We start from the raw sequence: 27,811 nt of genomic DNA on the forward strand, positions 1-27,811 counted from the left end.
CGGGCTAAAGTGATCCTCCTACTTCAGCCTCCCGAGTAGCTGGGATTATAGGTATACACCACAATGCTCAGCTAATTTTTTAAATTTTGTGTAAAGACAGGGTCTCACTATTGAGACCCAGGCTGGTCTTGAACTTGTGACCTCAAGCAATCCTCCTGCCTTGGCCTCCGAAAGTGCTAGGCTTACAGGCGTGAGCTAACGCCTTGGCCTCTGTTGTCATCCTAGATCTCTGAGATCTAAATCTTAGAGAGGATGGGAGAGACCTCCAATTGAGCCAGTGCCTGCAATTCAGCCCCCTGCTGGCACCCAGACAGGGGGAAGAGTTGGAAGGAATGTCCCTCCTGCCTTCTGGGTGTTCATGCTCTTGCAGGGAGGGAAGACAAACCAGGCCTTAAGGGAAACCAGGCCACCCTCAGTGTCTTCCAGGCTGCTTGCGAACATGCATAACCCAGTCACACCAGCCCCAGTGTCCAGACACACACCCACAGGTAGGAAGAAAGTAGGGTCAGGGTTGTGGCGGAGGATAAAGAGTACATGAGGACCTGAAGGTCACCCAGTAGGACCATCCTGAGAAGCCAGGAGCAGGGGTCTACCTGCCTTGAGCCAGAGCAGGGCCAGAGCAGGGGTCTCAAAGGATGTGAGATTTCCTGGGTAGAAAAGTAGAGTGGAGGTGGGGCGTGGTGGCTCACACCTATAATCCCATCACTTTTTGGGGCTGAGGTGGGCAGATCACTTGAGTTCAGGAGTTCGAGACAAGCCTGGGCAATATGGCAACACCCTGTCTCCACTGAAAATACAAAAAATTAGCCGGGCGTGGTGGCGCATGCCTGTAGTCCCAGCTACTCAAGAGGCTGAGGTGGCAGGGTTACTTGAGCCTGGGAGGTGGAGGCTGCAGTGAGCTATGATCGCACCACTGCACTCTAGCCTGGGCAATAGAGCGAGACCCAGTCTCAATTTTTAAAAAAGAAAGAAAGAAAAACAAATGGTGTGGGAGAGAATTACAGGCATAGTCACCAAACAGCAAGGTTCAGGGGAGAAAACTCCATAAAAGGGTAGAAGGTGAAGCTTCTGGGATGCCCAGCAGGGGTCAAGACATCCACCACTAGGACTTTATTTTAGGCTTCTGCCTTGGTTTATTTTTTGGTTTTTGGTTTTTTTGAGACAGTCTTGTTGTGTCGCCCAGGCTGGGGAGCAGTGGCGCGATCCCTCCTCACTGCAACCTCCGCCTCCCAGGTTCAAGCGATTCTCCTGCTTCAGCCTCCCAAGTAGCTGGGATTACAGGTGTGCACCACCACGCCCGGCTAAGTTTTGTATTTTCAGTAGAGATAGGGTTTTGCCATGTTGGCCAGGCTGGTCTCGAACTCCTGACCTCAAGTGATCTGCCCGCCTCAGCCTCCCAAAATGCTGGAATTACAGGCATGAGCCACTGCACCTGGCCTCGGTTTGTTTTTTTGTTTCTTCTTTTCTTTTTTTTTACACAGGGTCTTGCTGTGTCACCCAGGCTGGCGTGCAGTGGTGAGATCATAGCCCACTGTAGCCTCCAGCTCCAACTGGTTCAAGCGATCCTTCTGACTCAGCCTCCCAAAGTGCTGGGATTACAAGCATAAGCCACCATGCCCAGCCTGTTTTTTCTTTTTTAGGAATAACGTCTAACGTTTTCTAACATTCAGTAAGGGACAACCCCTGTTCTAAGTACTTTGCATAGTTAGATATTAGTGCTGTCTTTGTTTTGCCAGAGAGAAAATTGGGACACAGAGAGGTTAATTCTCTTGATGAAAGTCACACAGCCAGTGAGTGAAATGAACACACTCAGTGTGGCTGAAAGGAGACAGACAGCATGCCCTGGGATTCTGCATCAGGTGCTCAGAAAGAGGCCTTCGGGGGGCAAGAGGGCTCTCAACAGGCAGAGGAAACCATCTGCACAGCGGTGGGATGGTGCGGACTGCTGAGGGAACAGGAACAGTTCCCTTGGAAGGAACAGAATAAGCTGAGGGATCCAACAAGAAACAAAGTTGAGACCGATTCGTGAAGGGCCTTGAATGCCAAGATAAGGAGTTTCAGAAGTCAGGATGGGGGTGGTGGCTCATCCCCGTAATCCCAGCACTTTGGGAGGCCGAGGCAGGCAGATCACTTGACCCCAGGAGCTTGAGACCAGCCTGGCCAACGTGGTGAAACCCCCGTCTCTACTAAATATTCAAAAATTAGCCAGGCATGGTGGCACATGACTGTAATCCAAGCTACTCGGGAGGCTAAGGAAGGAGAATCACTTGAACCTGGGAGGCGGAGGCTGCAGTGAGCTGAGATCACGTCACTGCACTCCAGCCTGGGAGACAGAGCGAGACTCCATCTCAAAAAAAAAAAAAAAAAAAAATAGAAGGGAGTCGGCAGAAAGCCAGGGAGGGGCTGGGGTGACATGCTGTTGAAGAATGCCATCCCAGTGGGCCGGTGGTGGTATCTAGGCAGGGAAGGGACTGTCCCAGTAACTCAAGGGTCTGAGCTCATAGGACCTGACCTGGGACAGTGACTGAGGATGGAGAGAATTTCAGGCAGAAGGGACAGTTTTTGGTGAGTATTTGTCATATTGGCTACCATGCATTGAGCACTCTTCATGCTAATTTGTTAAATCTTCATCATAACTCTATGAGGGACTGTATGTGCCCAGTTTGCATGGGAGAAACAGAGATTCCATGCAATCAAGTGCCTCGCTGAAGGTTGTAACATCTAGAGCTGGGACTAAAACCTTCTCACTCCACATCGCCACAGAGTAGGAAAGGCAGGGGCTGGCGGTGGCACATGCCTATAATCCCAGCCCTTTGGGAGGCGGAGGCAGGTGGATCTCTTGAGCCCAGGAGTTTGAGACCAGTGTGGGCAACATAGTGAAACCTTGTCTCTACAAAAAAATTAGCTGAGCATGGTGGTGGTGCCTGTAGTCCCAGCTACTCAAGGGCGCTGACATGGGAGGGTTGCTTGAGCCTGGGAGGTGGAGGTTGCAGTGAGCTATGATCACACCACTGCAAGCCAGCCTGGGTGACAGAGTGAAATCCCATCTCAAAAAAAAGAAAGAAAGGAAGAAAGAAAAAGACAGGGGCTTCGGGGAGGGCATGGGCACTGGCGAATGGCAGGGTGGAACCTGAAGCCATCTGGTTTTCTAACCTGGGCACTGGGGAGTTGGTGGTTTGTTGACTCTGATGGAATTGGGGGTCATGTTGGGGAGGAGACATGCTCATCTGTGTTGAGCTGGAGGGGACATGGGCTATCCATGGTGGCTGTGTCCTGCCCAGAGCTAGCCATGGGAGCCTGAGTCCAGTTGGAGGTAGGAAAGTCAGAAAAAACGGCCGCCTCGGAGCTGGCCCTGAGATGGTGAGTGGGATTTGTGATAGGGCCAAGACGAATGAAGGGAAGAACTTTGGGGACCCCTGTGTCTGCGGTGAGGGGGGAGATGGAGCCTTGGGTGATGGAGAGAGGGTCAGGAGTAGAGCCACAGAAGCCACAGGAGGGAAGCCGTGTTACAGGATGGGTGTACCTGGCTTTGGAGTGGCCTGTCCCAAATCACTCACCAGGAGAGGGGTGAGTCCCCAGGTCAGGGCAGTAAAGAGGAGGCATGTTTGTGCTGTCCCTGGTGTAGTGAAACTCAAGAAGGAAGCCAGGTGCAGTGGCTCACGCCTGTAATCCCAGCACTTTGGGAGGCCAAGGCAGGCAGATCACCTGAGGTCGGGAGTTTGAGACCAGTCTGGCCAACATGGTGAAACCCCATCTCTACTAAAAATACAAAAATTAGCCGGGCCTGTTGGTGGGCGCCTGTAATCCCAGCTACTCAGGAGGCTGAGGCAGAAGAATCGCTTGAACCCGAGAGGCAGTGATTGCAGTGAGTCAAGATCGCGCCACTGCACTCTAGCCTGGGTGACAGAGCAAGACTCCATCTCGAAAAAAAAAAGTCTCAATATGGGGAAAGATCCACTAGAAGTAAGAGCCATGGCTTCTACCTCGTGGCTTGTGGGTGTGATACTCCCAACAGTCCCCAAAGCTGGTGGTCCTCACCGCGTGACAGTGAGCAGAGCAGCTCAGAGGGGGTCACTGCTCACCTGGGTGCATGGCTGACCACAGCCAGGCTGGCTCTCAGTGGGATGCCCAAGGTGCTAGACTCTGCTTAGTCTCCCTCGGGCCCTGGGCTTGAGGCATTGGGCCCGGCCCAGACCTCATTTCATGCACTGAGACCTTTGTTCCAGGGCCCCTCACCCCTCTGAAGGTGTTCGGGCAGGGGCAATGTGATAAGGCCATGAGGGGTCTGCAGCCTCCAGCCCCACTGGGGAGGTGGCCAGTGATTTCCACTTTCCTGGCCCCTCTGCATGCCCCTCCCAGTGGAACTTCCTAGGGTCCCTGAGTCAGTCACTTGCAAATAATTATGGCGTGCCCACTCTGCATTAGGCCCCTCTCACAACAACCCAGTAAGGGGGTGCTATTTATTTATTAAAGCGATTTTTTTTTTGAGTCTCGCTCTGTCGCCCAGGCTGGAGTGCGGTGGCGCAATCTCGGCTTACTGCAAGCTCTGCCTCCCGGGTTCACACCATTCTCCTGCCTCAGCCTCCCAAGTAGCTGGGACTACAGGCGCCCACCACCACACCCGGCTAATTTTTTTTTGTTTGTTTGTATTTTTAGTACAGACGAGGTTTCGCTGTGTGAGCCAGGATGGTCTCGATCTCCTGACCTCGTGATCCGCCCACCTCAGCCTCCCAAAGTGCTGGGATTACAGGCGTGAGCCACCGTGCCCGGCAATATTAAAGCGATTTTAAGGCCAAGGCTGGTAACTCACGCCTGTAATCCCAGCACTTTGGGAGGCTGAGGCAGGAGGACTGCTTGAGGCCAGGAGTTTGAGATCAACCTAGGCAACATAGTGAGACTCCATCTCTACAAAAAAATTAGCCAGGCGTGGTGGTGCGTACCTGTAGTCCCAGCTACTCAGGAGGCTGAGATGGGAGGATCATTTGAACCCAGGATGTCGAAGCTGCAGTGAGCTGTGATCACGCCACTGCACTCTGGCCTGGGCAACAGAGCGAGACACTGTCTCAAATTTTTAAAAAGCGATTTTACAAATGAGGTGCAGAGTTCAGTCACTTGCCAAAAGTCTCACAGCGCGTGAGGAGTAGAATCAGGACTCGAACCGAGGCAGCCTGGCTTCAGAGCCTACAGTGTAACCACAGCTTAGTCCCACACCTCCCAGACCAACAGGGTCCCTGCCTTCTAGTGGGCAAGACACTCAGTGAACAAATGTAGTGTCAGGTATTGGGGGACAGCACTCTCAGGAAGTGATGTTTAAGGGACAGAATTGAAGGGAGCAGTGTTTAGAGGATGTCGGGGGTAGGGCCGGTGCATGTGCAAAGGCCTTGGGGTGGGAATGTGCTTGGCACAACTGAGGACCACAAAGCCAGCGTGCGGGAGTGCAGTCAGTGGCCAGGGGTGCATAGAGCCTTGTGGGCCCCGTGGAAGGTGCCGTTGGCTGTACAGCTTTTTTTTTTTTTTTTTTTTTTTTTTTTTGAGACAGAGTCTCGCTTTTGTTGCCCAGGCTGGAGTGCAGTGGCGTGATCTCAGCTCACTGCAACCTCCGCCTCCCGGGTTCAAGCGATTCTCCTGCCTCAGCTTCCTGGTAGCTGGGACTACAGGCGCCCACCACCACACCTGGCTAATTTTTGTGTTTTTAATAGAGACGGGGTTTCACCATGTTAGCCAGGCTGGCCTCAAACTCCTGACCTCAAGCGATCTGTCTACCTCAGCCTCCCAAAGTGCTGGGGTTACAGGCATGAGCCACTGCGCACAGGCAGCTGTGCATCTTTGAATGTCATAACCTGAGCATCTGAGAGCTGCTCCTGTCCCCTGGCCCCTGCTCTTGAGGAAGTCCCACGCTGATAGGACAGACAGGGTCATAAGTGCTGTGATGGGGGCCTGCAGGCTGCTGGAGGGCTCAGCCGGGACCAGATGCTGCCCCTCTTTGTAGAGTGGGACAATTGCTGCAGGCCCATGGGACCTCTGGTATTAGCCCTGAGGGTTGTCACTCCGGGGCCTGCCCCTTTCTGTGTTCTGACCTCCCAGCCCCTTGCAGGCCCTGCCTCCCGGAAGGTTATGACCAGGCTTGGACTGGTCCAGGCTTCCCTTTGGCTCACATACTGCCTCTGCGAGGTCCCCTCCAGGAAGCCTCCTGTGCACAACCCCCAGGGCTGCCGCATCCCTGGTAGCATCTCCTTGGCAGCTGGGTGGGCTGGCCCTGGGCAAGGAGGGCTGAGCATGCTGCTGGCCTGTGGGGTTGGAGCAGCGGCGGGATGCAACCTCCCTTTCTTCAGGGGACCTTTTTGGCGAAGACAAACTGTCCATAGGAAGTCGACCTCTGTTCCCTTGGGGGCAGCAGTGGAAGAGGCAGCTGCTTTTGAGCTTGTCCCTGTCCCCAGAGAAGCCTGAGGCCTTCAGTGCCGTTGCCAGGGCCGAGGCTGAGGAGCCTACAGCGTGTGTTCAGGACTGAGGGCCAGGGACGGGCCACAGGCTCCCTGCCTGGGGTCCAAGCCTAGATCGCTCGCTCCCCACCCGCACCAAAGCCCAGGCAAAGGGTGCTTCAGCCACTTCCTGTTGCAGGCTCAGACCAAGTCCCCTGGCACCCACGCGGCTGCAGCCTCCTCCTGTGCGCTGCAGCCACGCTGGCCCCACCCTCTGCAGCCTCCAATCCTGAGCCCCTGAGGGAGGATGGGGAAGCAGCTGGTCTGGCCACCCCTGCCCTCCCTTAGACCTCCAGAGCCCCCAGTGTAGCCACAGAGGATGCTGTTGGCTTCAGCCCCAAGAAGACGCCGCTTCCTCCAGAGGGCTAAGTAAGTGGGAATCCCCCTCCCTACTTGTCCTGGGCTCCAGGCAGGGCCCCTGGTGTAAGGCCTGGGGCTGGAAGCCGACCCACCTAGGTCCAGGCTCTGGGGCAGAACTGAAACTCCTTGGTTACTGTCGGCTGCAGCCTGGGAGCAGGCCACTGCCAAAGCTGTGGGTCCTTCCAGGACAGTCTCCCCATGAGGCCGGTCCTCCACCTGCTGTTTCTTCACACCTGGTGGCCAGGGATGTGGCCCTGGGTAGAACGATGATTCTCCACTCCTGTCATTATGGAAGCCACCGCTGTCTCCCAGCCCAGCCAGCCACCTGGGCTGCAGAGCACCCCTTTCATGCCCTCCGGGTGCCTCCCCCTTCTCCTGCCCCAGCCTGGCTTTGTCCTACCCTGCTCTCAGGGAGGGGTACCCTGGAGTGGGGCCAGGGCATGGCTCTCCCCCGAGGGAGTTCCTCTCTGGCTGTCCCCAGGGCAGCTCTGCACAGCCTCAGTACCTGGCGCACCTCCCTTGACATCCTTCTTAGGGACAGTCAGGCACTCTGTGTGGGGCACTCAAGAGAGCCAGGCCCGTCAGCCTCTAGCTCCTGCCAGAATGCAGGCCTGAGGGGTGAGGGGCGGGGCAGGGGCAGGGACAGGAACTCCGGCGTGCTCTCCATCCGCAAAGGTTCACTGAGGCCCCGAGCCCCAGCCACTGAGCCACCAAGTCAGCCTGGGCCAGGCCTGGGTGCCCTGTCTGCAATGGAGGCAGAGACGGGGTCTCGGGGCAGTTCTGAGGATGCTGGGTGCACAGCGGGGGCCTCGCCGGCAGGAATCACTTATGCTCTCTCCTGGGCCAAGCTTTGTGGATGCCCAGCCTGGGGCCGCGGGGAGCTGGCAGGTCAGTGGCAGACACTGGTGGGCAGACCTAGTGTCTGGTAGAACAGGCATCAAGGAAGTGGTGACCGGAGGGAAGCCAAGTGCACTCAAACCCTCGGGTGAGTCATCACCGCCGGGTCTTTCACAGCTGCTGAAAGTGAGCAACAGTGATGAAGGTTTGTGAGTTTCTGCGTGAGCGAGTGAATGGACCAGTAGCAGTTTCCAGGTTGTGGAAGAGCGTTCCCTCCCCGGGATGGGGACACTTGGTTACAGCAATTCCTAATCCCCCACCCACCCACCGCCCACTGCAGAGGTATGCGGGGGCCCTGCTTCCTGCAGGCAGGAGTGAGGGGCACTCCTGTGATGTGGCACCCCTGTGACCGAGGTCATGTGTGATCGGTGTAAGGGCAGGAAGCGAGTCATTGGTCTGCACCAGGCGTGGGGGCTTCTGCGAGGGCAGGACCCAAAGTCGGCCTGGCCTCCCGGCTGCAGCACTCCTTTCCCTTTCGAATTAGGTTAGAGCCCTGGGACGGGAGGTGCCCTGTAGACCACCCCCCTCACCAACTTCCGTCCTCCGCCCCACCCCCGCGGTGATCCGGTGAACTGCCGGCCCCCTGCTGTGCACCGAGTGGGGCAGTGACCCTGACGTGGCGTCTCCTGCCGCCCCTGCCACCGCCACCACCTCCGGTGGCCCAGCCTCCGCATTCCCCACCCCCATGGAGGAATGCACCAGGCCTCCCTTCCTGGATGCACCCCTCACCCACATGCTTCCAAACCCTGGCATTTTCTGCTCCCCCTTTACTCCCACCCCTTCCCCTAGGCTCCCAGACAAAGGGGAAGTGGCTGGATCCTCTTAAAGGGACAGTGTCCCACCAGCTTACTGCTGAACTCCCCTCCTCAACCCCAGTTCCCTAGTTACAGTTAATTAGCATTAGCAGACAGCCCATGAGTGATACCCATGCAGGCCCCAGGCTGTGGAGAGTTTCCTGGGTAGGAAACAGCCCTTAAGGTCCCTCATCTCATCCAGGTCCCAGTCTTTCCTACCTGCCTCTCTCCTAGATTGTGGCCCTTTGGAGCCTGGTTCTTCTGTCCCTGTGTGACCGACACATAGCACCCAAACAGTGGCAGAGCGGGACGGACCCCCTAGCCTGTTCTCTGTGTGGGTCTGTACCCTGACCCAGACATGCCCCCCCACAGCAGGACCCAGGGGGGCACATGTGTGCCTGCGGGTTCACTGGGGCACCCGCATTTGGTTTATTTTATTTTTTAGAGAGAGGGTCTTGCTGTGTCACCCAGCTGGAGTGCAGTGGTGTAATCATAGCACACTGCAGCCTTCAACTCCTGGGCTCAAGCGATCCTCCCTCCCCAGCCTCCCTAGTAGCTGGGAGTACAGGACCCACTGTATCCTGGCTAATTTTTTAATAATTTTTTAAGAGATGGGGTCTTACTGTGTTGCCCAGGCTGGCCTCAAACCTCTGGCCTCAAGTGATCCTCCCACCTTCGCCTCCTGAAGTGCTGAGATTACAGGCATGAGCCACCATGCCCATCCCAGACTGACATTTCTATATTTGTTCATCCTGGCTGGGCAGGGCTGCTGGTCCCCACCCCACCGGGATGCTTGGCTGGGAAAAAGCCGGGAATGTAGGTCTAACCCTGGCCTGTGTTGTGGCACCTACAGCCTGGCATTCCTCCCCATCTGCCCTTCAAGGCCCCACCAACCAGGCCTCCTTGGTAGCCTCTAGTGAGGAAACAGGCGAACCGTGGCTTTGATGACCCTGCACACCTGGGGATTCTCCTCTATTTTTCTTTTTCTTTTTTTTTTTTTTGGAGACAGAGTCTCACTCTGTCGCCAGGCTGGAGTGCAGTGGCACAATTTTGGCTCACTGCAACCTCTGCCTCCCAGGTTCAAGCGATTCTTCTGCCTCAGCCTCCCGAGTAGCTGGGATTACAGGTGCCCACCACCATGCCTGGCTAGTTTTTGTATTTTTAGTGGAGACTGGGTTTTGCCATGTTGGCCAGGCTGGTCTCAGACTCCTGACCCCAAGTGATCTGCCCACCTCGGCCTCCCAAAGTGCTGGGATTACAGGTGTGAGCCACCGCTTTGGGAGGCCGAGGTGGGCGGATCACGAGGTCAAGAGCTCAAGACCATCCTGGCCAAGATGGTGAAACCCCATCTCTACTAAAAATACAAAAAATTAGCTGGGCATGGTGGTGTGTGCCTGTAGTCCCAGCTACTCAGGAGGCTGAGGCAGGAGGATCACTTGAACCTGGAAGGCAGAGGTTGCAGTGAGCCGAGATCGAGCCACTGCACTGCAGCCTGGCGACAGAGCAAGACTCCGTCTCAAAAAACAAACAAAAAGAAAACTTGTTCTAATTCTTACAAAGGTGCCTGTAGCCGAGGCAGGGGCCCAGGTGAGGTGGAGGAGGGCGGGAGTGGACGTCTCAGCCCGGCCCCTCTCCTGCAGGTGTTGTGACTGCAGTGCCTCCCTGTCGCACCAGTACTATGAGAAGGATGGGCAGCTCTTCTGCAAGAAGGACTACTGGGCCCGCTATGGCGAGTCCTGCCATGGGTGCTCTGAGCAAATCACCAAGGGACTGGTTATGGTGAGCGCCCCCTGCCTTGCACACTCACCTGGGGTGGGGGTATCCAAGCAGACCCCATGCTCCAGGTCTCTCTCCCATCATTGTCTCTCCTGGTCTCCTTTTTGCTGGTCTTTGGAGCTGCTTTCTGAGCCTGACTGTCTGTCTGTATCCCTCAGCGCCCCCATCTATGGAGCCAGCTCTGTCCAGGAGCTCAGCAGCTGGCCAGCCGGGTCCCTGCAGTTGTTTTTTTGGTGACACCCTTGGAAGAGGCCTAGGGGAGGATCTGTGGGGGTTGTTGGGTCTGCTGAGCTGGGCTGTTCCCTCCTCACCCCCGCACCAGGTGGCTGGGGAGCTGAAGTACCACCCCGAGTGTTTCATCTGCCTCACGTGTGGGACCTTTATCGGTGACGGGGACACCTACACGCTGGTGGAGCACTCCAAGCTGTACTGGTGAGTGCCTTGGCCCCTCCCTGAGCCTAGGAGGCCCACCTGTGTCACAGATCTGCAAGGGTGCTGACTCTCCCACACCCGGGCCTCCTGCCCTTTCCCATGGGGTGAGGTTTGTTGGGGCAAATGTTCATATCTCCTTTCCCATCCCGGCATGGAAACAAGTGAGAAATAACACACAGAAGTCAGTGTGAAAAAGCCTCAGACGGCCAGGCATGCTGGCTCACGCCTGTAAACCCAGCACTTTGGGATTCCGAGGTGGGTGGATCCCTTGAGGCTAGGAGTTCAAGACCAGCCTGGCCAACATGGTGGAACCCCATCTCTATTAAAAATACAAAAATTAACCAGGTGTGGTGGCGGGTGCCTGTAATCCCAGCTACTCAGGAGGCTGAGGCAGGAGACTCTCTTGAACCTGGGAGGTGGAAGTTGCAGTGAGCCAAGATTGCACCACTGCCCTCCAGCCTAGGCAACAGAGCAAGACTCTGTCTCAAAACAGAAAACCTCAGACGTCAGCTTTCTTACTGGCCATGACTGCAGCATGGTGCTGGCACAAACCACCAGAGGTGGGGTGGATGCCACAAGTTAAGGACACCATCCCCAGCATAACTGCTCCCTCTTTAGACACCAGCCACAAGTTCAGGGGTCCCCAACCCACTCACACTTCTGACCGACTGGCTACAAATTCAGGGACTCCCAAGACCCTGCCAAGTTTGATCGTTTGCTAACAGACTCACAGAACTCAGGAAATCCTCCATTTTTATCCCAGTTTTATTATGAAGGACACAGCTCAGGTCCGACCAAATGAAGAAGCATCTCCCCTCCCTCCCCTAGCACATCAATGTGATCACCAACCAGGAAGCTTCACTGAGCTTCAGCAGCCAGAGTTTTTATTGGGATTTCATTACATCGTCATGACTGATTGAGTCATTGGCCGTATGATCAAGCTTAGTCTCTAGCCCCCGTTCTTGGAGGTCAGGCTGGATGAAAGCTGCAACCCTCTTCAAATCACATGATGTATCTTTGCGGGGCTGAGTCATCTCATTAGTATCAACTCAGGAATAGTCTGAGGGGCTCATGAATAACAAAGATACCCCATTCCAAGGACTTAGAGTCTCCCTCCCAGGAATCAGGACAAAACCCAGACAGATTCTTTCTTATACAACACTGATCAAGCTGGATTAGAGGACAACGTGGCTTGATCCCAGATGGGCTTTTAATGACTTCCTCCTGAACTGGATTTATCCTCAGGCCTTGTCCTGGCCGCCTTACAGGATCACAGCGAGTAGACAGACCCGAATGACTCAGAGGGACGAGGGCTGGCTGGGCACGCACAGTTCCTGCTCCCAGTTCCATAGGAAGAGTGAAAGAAAAGAAAGCTGGCCAGGTGCAGTGGCTCACCCCTATAATCCCAGCACTTTGGGAGGCCAAGGCAGGCAGATCACCTGAGGTCTGGAGTTTGAGGCCAGCCTGGCCAACATGGTGAAACCGTCTCTACTAAAAATAAGAAATTAGCCAGGCATGGTGGTGCGTGCCCGTAATCCCAGCTACTCAGGAGGCTGAGGCAGGAGAATCGCTTGAACCCAGGAGGCGGAGGTTACAGTGAGCCAAGATCACACCACTGCACTTTTGGACAATTGCTAGCTTTCCTTTTCTTTTGAGACAGAGTCTTGCTTTGTCACCCAGGCTGGGGTGCAGTGTTGTAATCAACAGAGTGAGACTCCATCTCAAAAAAAAAAAAAAAAAAGGAAGGGATTGGGGGAAGAGCCTGGGGCTGGGGGCTGCAGAGATGCTGAAATTGATGACGCCCTTGACACTCTTTTCTTCCCACCCCGGCGGCTCTTGCAGCGGGCACTGCTACTACCAGACTGTGGTGACCCCCGTCATCGAGCAGATCCTGCCTGACTCCCCTGGCTCCCACCTGCCCCACACCGTCACCCTGGTGTCCATCCCAGCCTCATCTCATGGCAAGCGTGGACTTTCAGTCTCCATTGACCCCCCGCACGGCCCACCGGGCTGTGGCACCGAGCACTCACACACCGTCCGCGTCCAGGGGTGAGTGGCCGGCCTGCCGAGGCTGCCGTCGGTGTGGCTATGGCTGTTGATGTGGGTGGCAGAGTCTGGCACTGGGGGCCCTGAAAATGAATGGGCGAGTGTTTGGGTACAGATGGGGCCCAGTTCTGACAACCTGGTTTGCCAGATTTCTGGCCCAGTCATTCCTCTGAATACCATTACAAATGCCAGATACAATAAAAAGACATTTTCAACCGGGCATGGTGGCCCACACCTGTAATCTCAGCACTTCGGGAGGCCGAAGTGGGTGGATCACCTGAGGTCAGGAGTTCGAGACCAGCCTGGGCAATGTGGTGAAACCCCGTCTCTACTAAAAATACAAACGTAGCCAGGCATGGTAGTGTGTGCCTATAGTGCCAGCTGCTTGGGAGGCTGAGGCAGGAGAATCACTTGAACCCAGGAGGTGGAGGTTTCAGTGAGCCCCGACTGCCATTGCACTCCAGGCTGGGCAACAAGAGTGTAACTCTGTATCAAAAAAATAAAAATAAAAAAAACACACTCAAAAAATAAAAAGACATTTTCTTTAGTCCATGTCTGATCCAACAAGAAAGAGGAGGAACCAAGTCAAGAATGAGTGAAGAAGCTGGGCGCAGTAACTCACACCTGTAATCTCAGCACTTTGGGAGGCCAAAGTGAGAGGATCACTTAAGGCCAGAAGTTTGAGACCAGCTTGGGCAACATAGCGAGACCTGCATGTCTACAAAAAAAAAAAAAAAATTAAAAATTAGCCAGGCATGGTGAAATCACTGAACACATAAAGGCTGGGCATGGTTGCTCACACTTATAATCGAAACACTTTGGGAGGCTGAGATGGGAGGATCACTTGAGGCCAGGAGTTCGAAACCAGCCTGGGAAACATTGTAGTCACAGCTACTTGGGAGGCTGAGGCAGAAGGATCTCTTGAGCCCAGGAAGTGGCTACAGTGAGCTATAATTGCACGACTGCACTCTAGGCTGGGCAATGGAGCAAAACCCTGTCTCAAAAAAATGGGGCAGGGCTGATAAAGATTAGATTACTGTGTGACTTTGAGCAGCTGCTTTCTCTCTAGGCTTTGGGGGTCTGTTTGAACAATGAGGGAGTTGGATACCTTGGAGCTTTCTAAGATTTCTGTGGCGCCTTTATTGACACCTTGAGAAGTAGCATGCAGTGTTTCTACTTTTGGGCAATTGGTCACTTCTTTTTTTTTGAGACAGTCTCACTCTGTCGCCCAGTCTGGGGTGCAGTGGTGTGATACCAGCTCACTGCAACCTCCACCCACAAGGTTCAAGCAATTCTTGCACCTCAGCCCCCTGAGTAGCTGGGACTACAGGTGACCACATGTGGCTAATTTTTGTATTTTTAGTAAAGACAGGGTTTCACCATGTTGGCCAGGCTCGTTTCAAACTCCTGGGCTCAAGTGATCCTCCCTTCTCGGCCTCCCAAAGTGCCGGGATTACAGGTGTGAGCCACCGTGCCCGGCCCAAGTGCTAGCTTTCTCTCTCTCTTTTTTTTTTTTTCGAGACGGAGTCTCGCTCTGTCGCCCAGGCTGGAGTGCAGTGGTGTGGTCTCGGCTCACTGCAAGCCCCGCCTCCTGGGTTCACGCCATTCTCCTGCCTCAGCCTCCCGAGTAGCTGGGACTACAGGCACCTGCCACCATGCCCGGCTAATTTTTTTTTTATATTTAGTAGAGACAGGGTTTCACCATATTAGGCAGGATGGTCTCGATCTCCTGACCTCGTGATCCGCCCGTCTCGGCCTCCCAAAGTGCTGCGATTACAGGCATGAGCCACCACGCCCGGCCCTACCAAGTGCTAGCTTTCATTTGACGCAGTGAATGTTTCTTGTACACCTGGCAGGTGCCTGGCACTGCATAGGCACTGTTGAGATGTGAAGGTGGCCCTGGGGACAGAAAATTATACTGGGCTTGACTGTGTGTCTCCATCCCTTGACATCAGCCAAGCCAGCAGCTGCTTTACATACATGATGAGCAGACAGCTGCTTGAAAGAGATGAGGAAACTCCCAGACCAACGGCTCTTACCAGAGGGCCAAGGGAGGTCCCCACAGAGTCAGAGGCTGCAGCTGGTCCCTGAAATCCAGGCAGAATTTTAGAAATGAAGACAGTCAGCTGGGTGCAGCGGCTCATGCCTGTTATCTCAGCCACTTCGGAGGGCTGAGGTGAGAGGATTGCTTGAGCCCAGGAGGTGGAGGCTGCAGCAAGCTATGATGACACCATGCATTCCAGCTTGGGCGACAGAGCGAGACCCTATCTCTAAAATAAAAATGAAGAAGACAGTTAATGACGTCTCCTCCCTGTCTGCCTCACTGGGTAAGCATTCGCCCAGCCAACATCTGGAACATCCCAGTTCTGCAAAGAGCCACACCCTTCCCAGAAAGAGCCCAACTTGCCAAAGATTTACTTATTTGTTTTAAACTGGTTTTAGTTGACCGCTTTTCATTTTGTGTATAGCAGCGTTTTAAGGAAGGTCTAATTTATCCAGGCCACCTGCTGCTTTAGCAAACCAAGGGAGAGGATGTGAGATTCTAAGGAATTTACATATGTATGTCATATATATATATATATATATATAGACACACAATTTTTTTTTGAGACAGGGTCTTGCTCTGTCATACAGGCTGGAGTGCAGTGGCACAATCATAGCTCACTATAGCCTCAGATGCCTGTGCTCAAGCAATCCACTCACCTCGGCCTCCTGAGTAGTGAGACTACAGGCACACACCACCACACCCAGCTAATTTTTTAATTTTTTGTAGAGACTGAGTCTTGCTGTGTCGCCCAGGCTAGTCTTGAACTCCTGGGCTCAAGCAATCCTCCCACATTGGCTTCCCAAAGTGCTAGGATTACAAGCGTGAGCCACTATGCCTGGCTTATTTTTAAGGTTATATGCATGCAAAGCCTGTATCAATGAAAATATTTTCTTTGGTTTTTTTCAACTTTTCATCTTCGCATTTTGCAGATTTATAGAAAATTTGCTAAAATAATAAGTCCATTGAATACATACACACCCTTCACCAAGGTTCACCAATTCGTAACTGCCATATTTGGGAGTTATATGTGTGTCTCTCTATATATACATATATGGATACAGATACATATACATGTTTAGTGACTTGTTTATATTTGTACATACATGTACATGTTGTTATTTATTGATCGTTTGGGAGTAAGTTGCAGGGATCATTGACTCCCCCACAATTATGCTAGATATTCTCAAAAGAAGGACCTTCTCTTTTTTTTTTTTTTTTTTGGAGACAGGGTATCACTGTCATTGAGGCTGGAGTGCAGTGATGCGATCACAGCTCACTGCAGCCTCAACCTCCCAGGCTCAAGTGATCCTCCCACCTCTGCCTCCCAAGTAGCTGGGACTACAGGCACGGGCCACCACGCCTGGCTAGGCATTCTGTTATGTAATTATCAATTGTATCTTATAGTTCAGTGATCACATTTTGGAAATGTAACATTGATACCATTATCTAATACACAGACCATATTCAAATTTTGCCTATTGTCTCTATACTGAACTACTGAGCTGTCCTTTATAGCAATCTCCCCCTCATCCACAGTCCAGTCCATGATCAACATTGCATTTAATCGTCATGTGTCATCAGTATCTTTTTTTTTTTTTTTTTTGAGACGGAATTTTGCTCTTGTTGCCCAGGTTGGAGCGCAATGGCGCAATCTTGGCTTATTGCAACCTCCGCCTTTGGGCTTAAGTGATTCTCCTGCCTCAGCCTCCTAAGTAGCTGAGATTACAGGCGTGCACCATTATGCATGCCTAATTTTTGTATTTTTATTAGAGACGGGGTTTTACCATGTTGCCCTGGCTGGTCTTGAACTCCTGACCTCAAATGATCCACCCACCTCAGCCTCCCAAAATGCTGGGTTTACAGGCATGAGCCACTGCGTCTGGCCATTTCCTCAGCCTTTCATTGCCCTTCATGATCTTGACATTTTTGAAGTGTACAGGCCAGTCATTAAAGTAAAATGTTTTTCCTTTTTTTTTTTTTTTTTTTTAAAAAGAGACAGGGTCTCACTGTGTTGCCCAGGCTGGTCTCAGACTCCTAGGCTCAAGTGATCCTCCCGCCTCAGCTTCCCAAAGTGCTGGGATTACAGGCGTGAGCCATCGTACCTGCCCTCGCATTTGGGTTTGACTGATGTTTCCTCTTAGGGAGACAGGCTCTGCAGGTTTGGCCTGATACTGCATAAGTGATCCTCTGTCCTTCCGAGTGGATCTTGCCAGGAGACATATGATGTCAGTGTGCCCTTTGCTGAGGATGTTCACTTTGATTACTTGTTTTTTCTGTACTGTAAGGATTTTTTTCCCTTTGTCATCAATAAACCATTTGTGAGATTTGAGTCTGTAAATATCCTGTTCCCAAAAACCCTTCCCCAAATGATTTGAGCATCTATTGATGATTCTTGCCTGTAGCGATTATTACTAGGGTGGCTACCAAATGCTGAATTTCTAACTCTGTTCTTCCTTCTGCATTTGTTACTGTAAGGAAGAGCTTCTCCCCCATACGAGAATAGTCTTTTTGTTTGCTTGGTTGTTTTTTTGAGATAGGGTCTCACTCTGTTGCCCAGGCTGGAGTGCAGTGACATGATCATAGCTCACTGCAGCCTCGACCTCATGGGCTCAAGCGATCCTCCTGCCTCAGCCTCTCGAGTAGCTGGGACTACAGGCAGCACCACCATGCCTGGCTAATTTTTTATTTTTTGTAATGGTGAGGTCTCACTATTTTGCTCAGGCTGGTCTCGAACTCCTGACCTCAAGTGATCTTCCCACCTCAGCCTCCCAAATAGCTGGGATTACAGGAGTGTGCCACCATGCTCAGCTAATTTTCTGTAAAAAATGTCATAGAGATGGGGTCTTGCTATGCTGCCCAGGCTGGTCTCAAACCCCTAGTCTCAAGCAATCCTCCCACCTTGGCCTCCCAAAGTGCTGGGATTCCAGGCATGAGCCACCACACCTGGCCCTGTTTTTCTTAAAGTTCTCAGTCTCCTCTCTGCCTTACCCCCATCCCCTTTTCCATCTCCAGGACCTAGGGCAGAGACAAAGTGAGCATTCCCTAAAAAGCTTTTATGAGGCAAAATGAAAACCAGCTCACGCCTATAATCCCAGCACTTTGGGAGGCCAAGGTGGGTGGATTACCTGAGGTCAGGAGTTCAAGACCAGCCTGACCAACATAGAGAAACCCCATCTGTACTAAAAATACAAAATTAGCCAGGCATGGTGGCACATGCCTGTAATCCCAGCTACTCAGGAGCCTGAGGCAAGAGAATCACTTGAACCTGGGAGGCGGAAGTTGCAATGAGCCGAGATCACTCCATTGCACTCCAGCCTGGGCAACAAGAGCAAAACTCTGTCTCAAAAAAAAAAAAGAAAAGAAAAGAAAACCAGGTCCCTAACACCGAAGAGTTAAAAGAAATAAGTAAATTTGGCAAATTGGTCTTTTTGTGAGTTAGCTTATAGGCAACTGATCGAGGGTCTCTTTCCCGTCTTCACCCTGCAATTGTGGCTCAGGGCAAGCTGCCAGCTCCCTCCTGCCAATGCAGGAGCAATAGAGCTTGGCCTCCTCTTGCAGGGCGAGTTTGGGAGTCAGATATGAAGCCACTAATCCGGGACCTTTTTGGGACCCAAGGCACTCATCTGCCCCAAGCATACCAGGCAGGCCAGGTGCAATGACTCATGTCTGTAATCCTAGCACTTTGTTTTTGCGACGGAGTCTCGCTCTGTCCACCCAGGCTGGAGTGCAGTGGCAGAATCTTGACTCACTGCAACCTCCACCTCCCAGGTTCAAGCAATTCCTGCCTCAGCCTCCCAAGTAGCTAGGACTACAGGCGCCCACTGCCACGCTCGGCTAATTTTTGTATTTTCAGTAGAGACGGCGTTTCACCATGTTGGCCAGGCTGGTCTCAAACTCCTGACTTCAAGTAATCCATCCACCTTGGCCTCCCCAACTGTTGGGATTACAGGTGTGAGCCACTGCGCCCGGCCAGTCCTAGCCCTTTGGGAGGCTAAGGCGGGCGGATTGCATGAGCTCAGGAGTTCGAGACCAGCCTGGGAAATGTGGTGTAACCCCGTCTCTACTAAAAATACAAAAAAAATTAGCTGGGTGTGGTGGTGTGCACCTGTAATCCCAGCTACTCAGGAGGCTGAGGTACGAGAATCGCTTGAACTCAGGAGGCAGAGGCTGCAGTGAGCTGAGATTGTGCCATTGCACTCCAGCCTGGGTAACAGAGTGAGATTCTGTCTCCAAAAAAAAAAAAAAAAAAAATTCGAGACCAAACATACCTGGGATTTGGAAGGATAGATCTGTTCCCCCAGGGTGGAGACAATGGTCCATTGAATGGGAACAGCTGAGCATCTTGTGTGGGTGGCCAGTGCCTACAAGCGTGCCACCTTTCTCCAGCTCACACCTGTGGCAGACATCAGTAATTGATTACAGAATTCCTCCCCTGAAACCAGAACTCGGTGTTCTGGCCATCTGCTACTTCCCAGTCACACGAAGTAGAATCCTCCACCTGCTCACCCTGGATCTGGTGCCCTTCGCCTTGGTTTCCTGTTGGGGCTCTGAGGGACAGGTGGGCACTGGCCTGACCCCTGCCTTACCCACAGAGTGGATCCGGGCTGCATGAGCCCAGATGTGAAGAATTCCATCCACGTCGGAGACCGGATCTTGGAAATCAATGGCACGCCCATCCGAAATGTGCCCCTGGACGAGGTACGGTCCTGAGTCTGTGGGGCAGGACGGGAGGTAGTGCCTTCATGCCTAGCCCCCTCCCCACTCCACCCCCATTCACATGCCTGCTGTCCCCAGATTGACCTGCTGATTCAGGAAACCAGCCGCCTGCTCCAGCTGACCCTCGAGCATGACCCTCACGATACACTGGGCCACGGGCTGGGGCCTGAGACCAGCCCCCTGAGCTCTCCGGCTTATACTCCCAGCGGGGAGGCGGGCAGCTCTGCCCGGCAGAAACCTGTCTTGTAAGTCAGCCTGCTCCTCGGTTCAGCTGGGTGCTTTCACTCCTGCTGGGGCTCAGGGGCTGTGGGACCTAGGTCGGGGAGCCAGCCCTGCACAAATGCAGCCCAGGCTTGAGCCAGGGAGGTGGAGGCTGCAGTAAGCTGTCATCACACCACTGCTCTCCAGCTTGGGTGACAAAACAAGACCCACTCTCAAAAAAAAAGAGGAAACACACATTTTTTAAAAAGCCGGGGACGGGGCCAGGCGTGGTGGCTCATGCCTGTAATCCCAGCACTTTGGGAGGCCGAGGCAGGTGGATCACCTGAGGTCAGGAGTTCAAGACCAGCCTGGCCAACATGGGAAACCTCATCTTTACTGAAAATACAAAAATTAGCCGGGCTTGGTGGCAGGTGCCTGTAGTCCCAGCTACTCAGGAGGCTGAGGCAGATGAATCACTTGAACCCAGGAGATGGAGGTTGCAGTGAGCCAAGGTCACGCCACTATACTCCAGCCTGGGCAACAGTGTGAGACTCTGTCTCAAAAAAAAAGAGGATGACAGAGCAGGATCTGAGGGGTTGAGGGGAGCTGGGGGCTGCCACTAGAGCCAGGATAGGCCGAGACACTGGGATGGGCAGCCTTTGGACTGTCCCAGGCGGGCCCTCCCAAAGCAGGGGGTGATTGCATAGACTGGCATGGACAGGGGCATGCAGGCAGGAGGAGGAAGGGGCAGGGCCTTGGCCGGGTGCTACCTGTCCCCCGGTGGCACTTGGCACCATGTGTGCCCCCCAGGAGGAGCTGCAGCATCGACAGGTCTCCGGGCGCTGGCTCACTGGGCTCCCCGGCCTCCCAGCGCAAGGACCTGGGTCGCTCTGAGTCCCTCCGCGTAGTCTGCCGGCCACACCGCATCTTCCGGCCGTCGGACCTCATCCACGGGGAGGTGCTGGGCAAGGGCTGCTTCGGCCAGGCTATCAAGGTACAGAGCATGCCAGGGTCTCAGGGGACAGTCTGGGTGGGACCCCTCCATCCTCCTTCCTTCCCAGTCTATGGAAACACAGTGGAAGGGGTATCTGGCTTCCAGACTCCCTGGCCAGTGCCCTCTCCTCCCTTGGCCTCCTGGAGCTAATTAGGAACAGGGGACCTCCTACAGGTAGACTGAGACCTTATGTGCGGGAGGTCATTGAAAGGTGGCTCCTAGCCAGGCACAGTAGTTTATCCCTGTAATCCCAGCACCATGAGAGGCTAAGGCTGTAGGATCGCTTGAGCCCAGGAATTCAAGACCAGCCTTGACATCATCTCTACAAAAAATTTAAAAATTAATTGGGTATAGTGGTGCATGCCTGTGGTCCCAGCTACTTGGGAGGCTTAGGCAGGAGGATTGTGAGCCAGGAGTTCAAGGCTGCAGTGAGCTATGATCATGCCACAGCACTCCAGCCTGGGCAATAGAGCAAGACCCCATCTCAAAAAAAAAAAAAAAAAGACAAGGGATTAATACATCCCATCCACTTGGGTATTTGGGAACATCCCATGCACAGCCTAGAGTATGAAGCCATCTGCACATCTCCCTGGCAGTCCTGGGGTGGAGATGGGGCTTCCTAGAAGGCGGGCTTACAGCAGAGCTTCTGTCTTCACACCTCTGTGTCCCACACGCAGGTGACACACCGTGAGACAGGTGAGGTGATGGTGATGAAGGAGCTGATCCGGTTCGACGAGGAGACCCAGAGGACGTTCCTCAAGGAGGTCAGTGAGCGGAATGCCCTCTTCCCTCCAGAGGGACTTCCAGGTGCTCACCCCTGCCCCATCAACACAGGTCGGAAAAGGGCTCTGGGAACCATTGAAAGAAGAGCGAGCAGGCCAGGCATAGTGGCTCACGCCTGTAATCCCAACACTTTGGGAGGTTAAGGAGAGAGGATACTTTGAGACCAACCTGGGCAACATAGCAAGACCCCGTCTCTACAAAAAAATTTTAAATTAACCGAGCTTGGCAATGTGCACCTGTCATCCCAGCTACTCGGGGGGCTGAGGTGGGAGGCTCGCTTGAGCCCAGGAGTTGGAGGCTGCAATGAGCCATGATCGCACCACTGCACTCCAGCCTGGGGAACAAGGCAAGACCCTGTGTCCAAAAAAAATAAAAGTAACTGCATTGGTCGGGCATAGTGGCTCACGCCTGTAATCCCAGCACTTTGGGAGGCTGAGCCGGGCGGATCACCTGAGGTCAGGAGTTCGAGACTACCCTGGCCAACATGGCAAAACCCCGTCTCTACTAAAAATACAAAAATTAGCCCAGCATGATGGTGGTGAGTGCCTGTCATCCAGGCTACTCAGGAGGCTGAGGCAGGAGAATTTCTTGAACTCAGGAGGCGGAGGTTGCAGTGAGCCAAGATCGTGCCGCTGCCCTCCAGCCTGGGCGACAGAGTGAGACTCCTTCTCAAAAAAAAAAAAAAGAAAAGAAAAAAGAAAGTAACTGCAGGCAGGGGACTGGGAAAAAGAGCATCGCTGGGGGTGGGGGCAGCTCAAGCAGAGGGCACAGGACGCCAGAGGGTGTGGCAGAGGCAGGAGAGGGGAGCTGGGGGTTCCGTATCTTTGAGACCGCCTACAGCCCCTGGTGGGATGGAAAAGGGAGAAGCAGACCCAAGCACAGCTGGGACCACACAGAGCCCGGGCCCAGCCTGTTTGTGCCCCGCCAGGTGAAGGTCATGCGATGCCTGGAACACCCCAACGTGCTCAAGTTCATCGGGGTGCTCTACAAGGACAAGAGGCTCAACTTCATCACTGAGTACATCAAGGGCGGCACGCTCCGGGGCATCATCAAGAGCATGGTGAGTCCTGGGCAGAGCCAGCCACCCCCGCTGTGCGGCCCCGGGCAAAGCAGCTCCCTCTGTGAGCCTCAGTCTCATCTCTTCAATGGGGGGAAGCCACAGGGGTCTCAAAGGCCCTCTGAACCCTGATTCCTAATCAAAAAGGGGAGCGACTGACTCCATCTAAAGCTAGGAAAGGCCAGGTACAATGGTGCACACCTGTTATTCTGGCACTTTGGGAGCCCAAGGCAAGAGGATCACTCGAGGCCAGGAATTCAAGGCTGCAGTGAGCTGTGATCTCACCACTGCACTCCAGCCTGGACCACACAGCAAGACCCTGTCTCAAAAACTAAAATAAAATTCAGAGCTTTCCTTAAGGATTTGAATAAAATTACAAATCCATCTTTAGAAATAAAGTGCTCAGGCCAGGTGCAGTGGCTCATGCCTATAATCTCAGCACTTTCAGAGGCTGAGGCCAGCAGATCACCTGAGGTCAGGAGTCCAAGACCAGCCTGGCCAACATGGTGAAACCCCGTCTCTACTAAAAATACAAAAATTAGCTGGGCCTGGTGGCAGGCACCTGTAATCCCAGCACTTTGGGAGACTGAGGTTGGCAGATCACCTGAGGTCAGGAGTTCGAGACCATCCTGGTAACCCGTCTCTACTAAAAATACAAAAAATTAGCCGGGCAAGGTGGCAGGTGCCTGTAGTCCCAGCTACTCGGGAGACTGAAGCAGGAGAATGGCGTTGAACCCAGGGGGCAGAGCCTGCAGTGAGCCAAGATCGCACCACTGCACTCTAGCCTGGGTGACAGCGAGATTCCTTCTCAAAAAAAAAGCACTTGGAGGAAGCCTCACAGAGCCCTGTGCTGGACCACACCCTGGGGATCCAGTCCTGGCCTCCAGCCCCATTTCTGTACCACCCTGAGACCATGGGATCTTCCTCAGGTTGGATTACCTTGTATCCAAGGTGTGGACCCTATGGGCTCCTGCTAGGTGTAACTTGACACAACGGGTTCCGTTGTCAGGTGCAATTTAGAAACTCTGGGCTAGGCCAAGCGCAGTGGCTCACACCTGAATTCCCAAACTTTGGAAGGCCGAGGCAGGAGGGTCACTAGAGGTCAGGAGGTCAAGACCAGCTTGGACAACATAATGAGATCCCAATCCCATCTCTACAAAAAAAATTAAAAAATTAGCCAAATGTGGTGACACATGCCTGTGGTTCCAGCTCCACAGGAGGCTGAGGCAGAAGGATCACTTGAGCACAGGAGGTCGAGGCTGCACTCCAGCCTGGGTGATAGAGTGAGACCCTGTCTCAATAAAAAATAAAGATCTCCAAGGGGATGAGGTTTGAGAATGAGGCGTCTCCCCCAAATGATTTGAGCCCAAAGCCCCGTTCTCCTGGCATGGCTCAGTGCTGCCACTGCGCAGGTGACCTTGCTGGGCCCTTCTACCTCTTACCTGTCTGTGAAAGTAGGTTCTAATTTTTTAAAAACCTAGAAAGATGAGTTTTTTGTTTTTGTTTTTGTTTTTCCCGAGATGGAGTTTTGCTCTTATTGTCCAGCCTGAAGTGCAATGGCGTGATCTCGGCTCACTGCAACCTCCACCTCCCAGGTTCAATCGATTCTGCCTCAGCCTCCCGAGTAGCTGGGATTACAGGAGCCCACCACCACACCCGGCTAATTTTTGCGTTTTTAGTAGAGACAGGGTTTCACCATGTTGGTCAGGCTGGTCTCAAACTCCTGACCTCGTGATCCAACCACTCTGACCTCCCAAAGTGTTGGGATTACAGGCGTGAGCCACCACACCTGACAGAAAGATGAGATTTTATAGAAAATAAATATAGCTTGTTTTCTCAGAGGAGGCAGATTGGGAGCTATAGAGGAATATCCCTGCTTAGAGTTTGAAATCAGTTCTGTTAGGAAATAATGTTTGTAGGGGCCGGGTGCGGTGGCTCACGCCTGTAATGCCAGCACTTTGGGAGGCTGAGGCAGGTGGATCACTTGAGGTTAGGAGTTTGAGAACAGCCTGGCCAACATGGTGAAACCCTGTCTCTACTAAAACTACAAAAATTAGCTGGGTTTGGTGGTGGACACCTGTAATCCCAGCTACTTGGGAGGCTGAGGCGAGAGAATTGCTTGAGGCCGGGTGCAGTGGCTCATGCCTGTAATCCCAACACTGGGAGGCCAAGGTGGGCAGATCACCTGAGGTAAGGAGTTCAAGACCAGCCTGACCAACATGGTGAAACCCCGTCTCTACTAAAAATACAAAAAATTAGCTGGGTGTGGTGGCGCATGCCCATAGTCCCAGCTACTCAGGAGGCTGAGACACAAGAATCACTTGAGCCCCGGAGGCGAAGGTTGTAGGGAGCTGAGATGGTACCACTGCACTCCACCCTGGGTGACAGAGTGAGACTCCATCTAAAGAAAAAAAAAAAAGGAAATAATGTCTGTGAGCTGTGTTGACTCATACTCCTTAGAAGCAGACAGTTGTGGGTGCCCGAAGAAATCGGGGTGTTGGGGAGCCCAGGGACCCTCTAGGACGCTTGCCTCTTCCTGCCTCTGTCTCATGCAACCATCCCTGCCATCGGGGCCCCCACCGGCCCCACCCTGGCCATTCTTTCTCCATCCCAGGACAGCCAGTACCCATGGAGCCAGAGAGTGAGCTTTGCCAAGGACATCGCATCAGGGATGGTGAGTGAGCCGGGTGCTCTAGCTCCATTCATAATCCCACCAGGAATTTGCAAACAGAACCCACAAAGAAGCTTTGAAAGAGGGCAGAGGGGGTCGATGGGAGAGTGGGAAGAATCGTCCCGACTGGCCTGATTGGGGTGGGAGCAGAGGGAGTTCCTGGGGAGCCAGGATGGGCTGGGGTCCCTCTGCACAGCTGCCCCCTGACTCCCGTGTCCCCGTCCCTAGGCCTACCTCCACTCCATGAACATCATCCACCGAGACCTCAACTCCCACAACTGCCTGGTCCGCGAGGTGAGTACCAGGGCCCCACGTGGCTGGGTGTCAGGAGACAGCAGGAGCCCATCCAACCCCAGCCTCAGGGCCTTCCCAGAACTGGAGGCCCCTCCATGTTGCCTCCATGACTTCAATTTGAGGTGGGGGTGGGGGGCAGCAGCCCGTGGGGAAGAGCGCAGGGTCAGGAGGCAGACAGACCTGGGTTTGAGTCCTGTCTCTGCCACTGACTCATGGTGGACCATCAGAGTCCCAGGCTGGTAGGAGGGTCTCATAAATCAATGAAGGAGAAAGTGACATGTAAGCTACAAAGGACCAGGACCGTGGTCTTCATAGAGCACAGCCCATGGCAGAGTGGCCATGGGCTACACCAGACAGCACCAGCATCTGGGGGCCACAGAGTGGGGGCATAGGCGTATGGGCTGGAGTGGTCAGGGCAGGCTTCCTGAAAGAGGAGGCTTGGCCAGACACAGTGGCTCACACCTGTAATCCCAGCACTTTGGGAGGCCGAGGCAGGCGGATCACGAGGTCAGGAGATCGAGACCGTCCTGGCTAACATGGGCACTGTGGCTCACACCTACAATCCCAACACTTTGGGAGGCCGAGGTGGGTGGATCACTTGAAGCCAGGAGTTCAAGACCAGCCTGGCCAACATGGCTAACACGGTGAAACCCCATCTCTACTAAAAATATAAAAAATTAGCCGGGCGTGGTGGCAGGTGCCTGTAGTCCCAACTACTTGGGAGGCTGAAGCAGGAGAATGGTGTGAACCCGGGAGGCGGAACTTGCAGTGAGCCAAGATCGCGCCACCGCACTCCAGCCTGGGTGACAGAGCGAGACTCCATCTCAAAAAAAAAAAGAGGAGGCTTTAGGTGGATATTTAAGCAGGGGACGGGCAGGCAAAGAGCCCAGTGTCTAAGGATTGTCAAGGGAGGAGAGCCCGGTTCTCCACCAAAAGCACAGGAGCGAGTAACCATGCCCATCTGGAGAGGTGGTGTATTCGTGTCCTGGGGCTGCCATCATGAAGTACTGTGAACCAGATGGCTCAAAACAACAGAAATGTGCTGGGCACAGTGGCTCACACCTAAAATCCCAGCAATTTGGGAGGCCAAGGCAGGTGGATTGCTTGAGCTCAGGAGTTTGAGACCAGCCTGGGCAACATTACGAAAGCCCATCTCTGCCAAAAATACAAAACGGAATAGCCAGCCGTGGTGGCATAAGCCTATGGTCCCAACTACCTGGGAGGCTGAGGTGGGAGGATCACTTGAGCCTGGGAGGTAGAGGTTGCAGTGAGCCAAGATTGTGCTACTCTACTCCAGCCTGGGAGACAGAGCCAGACCCTGTCTCAAAAAAACAAAACAAAACAAGGTCAGGCACTGTGGCTCACGCCTGTAATCCCAGCACTTTGGGAGGCCGAAGTGGGTGGATCACTTGAAGCCAGGAGTTCAAGACCAGCCTGGCCAACATGGCAAAACCCTGTTTCTACTAAAAATTCAAAAATTAGCAGGCATGGTGGCGCATGCCTGTAATCCCAGCTACTCGGGAGGCTGAGGCAGGAGAATTGCTTGAACCCAGGAGGCAGAGGTTGTAGTGAGCTGAGATTATGCCACTGCACTCCAGCCTGGGTGATAGAGTCAGACACCGTCTCAAAAAAAAAAAAGCATCACATGGCAAGAGGGGCTGACAAGAGACCCCCAAACTGACCATTATACAGACCCACTCTTGTGATAACTAACCTGGTCCCTCAATAACCCATTAATCTGTTAATTCATACAGAGCCCTCATGACCCAATCACCTCTTACAGGCCCTGCCTCTTAATACCGTTAGAGTCAGGCCAGGCATGGTGACATGGGCCTGTAGTCCCAGCTAGTTGGAAGGCTAGGTGGGAGGATCCCTTGAGTCCAGGAGGTAAATGTTACAGTGAGCTCTGATTGTGTCACTGCACTCCAGCCTGGGCAACAGAGCGAGCCCCTGTTTTTAAAACAGCAACAAGCCAGGCACAGTGGCTCACGCCTGTAATCCCAACACTTTGGGAGACTGAGGCAGGCAGATCACTTGAGGTCAGGAGTTCAAGACCAGCCTCACCAACACAGTGAGACCCCTCTCTACTAAAAATACAAAAATTAGCTGGGCGTGGTGGTGGGTGCCTGTAGTCTCAGCTACTCATGAGACTGAGGCAGAATTGCTTGAACCCGGGAGGTGGAGGTTGCTGTGAGCCGAGATCACGTCACTGCACTCCAGCAACAGAGTGGGACTCCATCTCAAAAAAAATAAAAAATAACAGA

General features: G+C 53.5%; 1 protein-coding gene across 2 annotated transcripts in view, besides 9 other annotated features; it reads left to right on the forward strand.

Annotated features, from left to right (window-relative positions):
• The window catches only part of LIMK1 (LIM domain kinase 1), a 38,722-nt gene that overhangs the window by 2,648 nt on the left and 8,263 nt on the right, over nt 1-27,811 (forward strand). Inside the window, exons 1-11 of one of the 2 annotated variants that reach the window (NM_001204426.2) lie at nt 6,766-6,848; nt 10,171-10,309; nt 10,629-10,738; nt 12,581-12,787; nt 19,424-19,529; nt 19,626-19,792; nt 20,559-20,742; nt 21,420-21,506; nt 22,454-22,585; nt 25,197-25,256; nt 25,482-25,547. In NM_001204426.2, coding sequence (NP_001191355.1) covers nt 6,799-6,848; nt 10,171-10,309; nt 10,629-10,738; nt 12,581-12,787; nt 19,424-19,529; nt 19,626-19,792; nt 20,559-20,742; nt 21,420-21,506; nt 22,454-22,585; nt 25,197-25,256; nt 25,482-25,547 — 1,308 coding nt within the window. In that variant the 5' untranslated portion in view covers nt 6,766-6,798. Of the gene's footprint in view, nt 1-6,765; nt 6,849-10,170; nt 10,310-10,628; nt 10,739-12,580; nt 12,788-19,423; nt 19,530-19,625; nt 19,793-20,558; nt 20,743-21,419; nt 21,507-22,453; nt 22,586-25,196; nt 25,257-25,481; nt 25,548-27,811 lie in introns of those variants that run through there. The other variant, NM_002314.4, reaches the window with a different exon arrangement.
• Nucleotides 3,683-4,183: an enhancer, noted in NCBI's record as "H3K4me1 hESC enhancer chr7:73504464-73504964 (GRCh37/hg19 assembly coordinates)". NCBI's record gives its function as "activates a minimal SCP1, AML or CMV promoter by ChIP-STARR-seq in naive H9 embryonic stem cells {active_cell/tissue: H9 hESC(naive)}" and the evidence as "EXISTENCE:reporter gene assay evidence [ECO:0000049][PMID:30033119]".
• Nucleotides 4,184-4,684: an enhancer, noted in NCBI's record as "H3K4me1 hESC enhancer chr7:73504965-73505465 (GRCh37/hg19 assembly coordinates)". NCBI's record gives its function as "activates a minimal SCP1, AML or CMV promoter by ChIP-STARR-seq in naive H9 embryonic stem cells {active_cell/tissue: H9 hESC(naive)}" and the evidence as "EXISTENCE:reporter gene assay evidence [ECO:0000049][PMID:30033119]".
• Nucleotides 6,340-6,881: an enhancer, noted in NCBI's record as "H3K27ac-H3K4me1 hESC enhancer chr7:73507121-73507662 (GRCh37/hg19 assembly coordinates)". NCBI's record gives its function as "activates a minimal SCP1, AML or CMV promoter by ChIP-STARR-seq in naive H9 embryonic stem cells {active_cell/tissue: H9 hESC(naive)}" and the evidence as "EXISTENCE:reporter gene assay evidence [ECO:0000049][PMID:30033119]".
• Nucleotides 6,340-6,914: a biological region, named in NCBI's record as "H3K27ac-H3K4me1 hESC enhancer GRCh37_chr7:73507121-73507662".
• Nucleotides 6,805-6,914: an enhancer, noted in NCBI's record as "active region_26137". NCBI's record gives its function as "activates an Ori minimal core promoter by ATAC-STARR-seq in GM12878 lymphoblastoid cells {active_cell/tissue: GM12878}" and the evidence as "EXISTENCE:reporter gene assay evidence [ECO:0000049][PMID:35858748]".
• Nucleotides 7,575-7,784: an enhancer, noted in NCBI's record as "active region_26138". NCBI's record gives its function as "activates an Ori minimal core promoter by ATAC-STARR-seq in GM12878 lymphoblastoid cells {active_cell/tissue: GM12878}" and the evidence as "EXISTENCE:reporter gene assay evidence [ECO:0000049][PMID:35858748]".
• Nucleotides 7,964-8,504: an enhancer, noted in NCBI's record as "H3K27ac-H3K4me1 hESC enhancer chr7:73508745-73509285 (GRCh37/hg19 assembly coordinates)". NCBI's record gives its function as "activates a minimal SCP1, AML or CMV promoter by ChIP-STARR-seq in naive H9 embryonic stem cells {active_cell/tissue: H9 hESC(naive)}" and the evidence as "EXISTENCE:reporter gene assay evidence [ECO:0000049][PMID:30033119]".
• Nucleotides 14,162-14,231: an enhancer, noted in NCBI's record as "active region_26139". NCBI's record gives its function as "activates an Ori minimal core promoter by ATAC-STARR-seq in GM12878 lymphoblastoid cells {active_cell/tissue: GM12878}" and the evidence as "EXISTENCE:reporter gene assay evidence [ECO:0000049][PMID:35858748]".
• Nucleotides 19,023-19,523: an enhancer, noted in NCBI's record as "H3K4me1 hESC enhancer chr7:73519804-73520304 (GRCh37/hg19 assembly coordinates)". NCBI's record gives its function as "activates a minimal SCP1, AML or CMV promoter by ChIP-STARR-seq in primed H9 embryonic stem cells {active_cell/tissue: H9 hESC(primed)}" and the evidence as "EXISTENCE:reporter gene assay evidence [ECO:0000049][PMID:30033119]".

Source organism: Homo sapiens, chromosome 7 (assembly GCF_000001405.40).
Source record: "Homo sapiens chromosome 7, GRCh38.p14 Primary Assembly".
Lineage (NCBI taxonomy): Eukaryota > Metazoa > Chordata > Mammalia > Primates > Hominidae > Homo > Homo sapiens.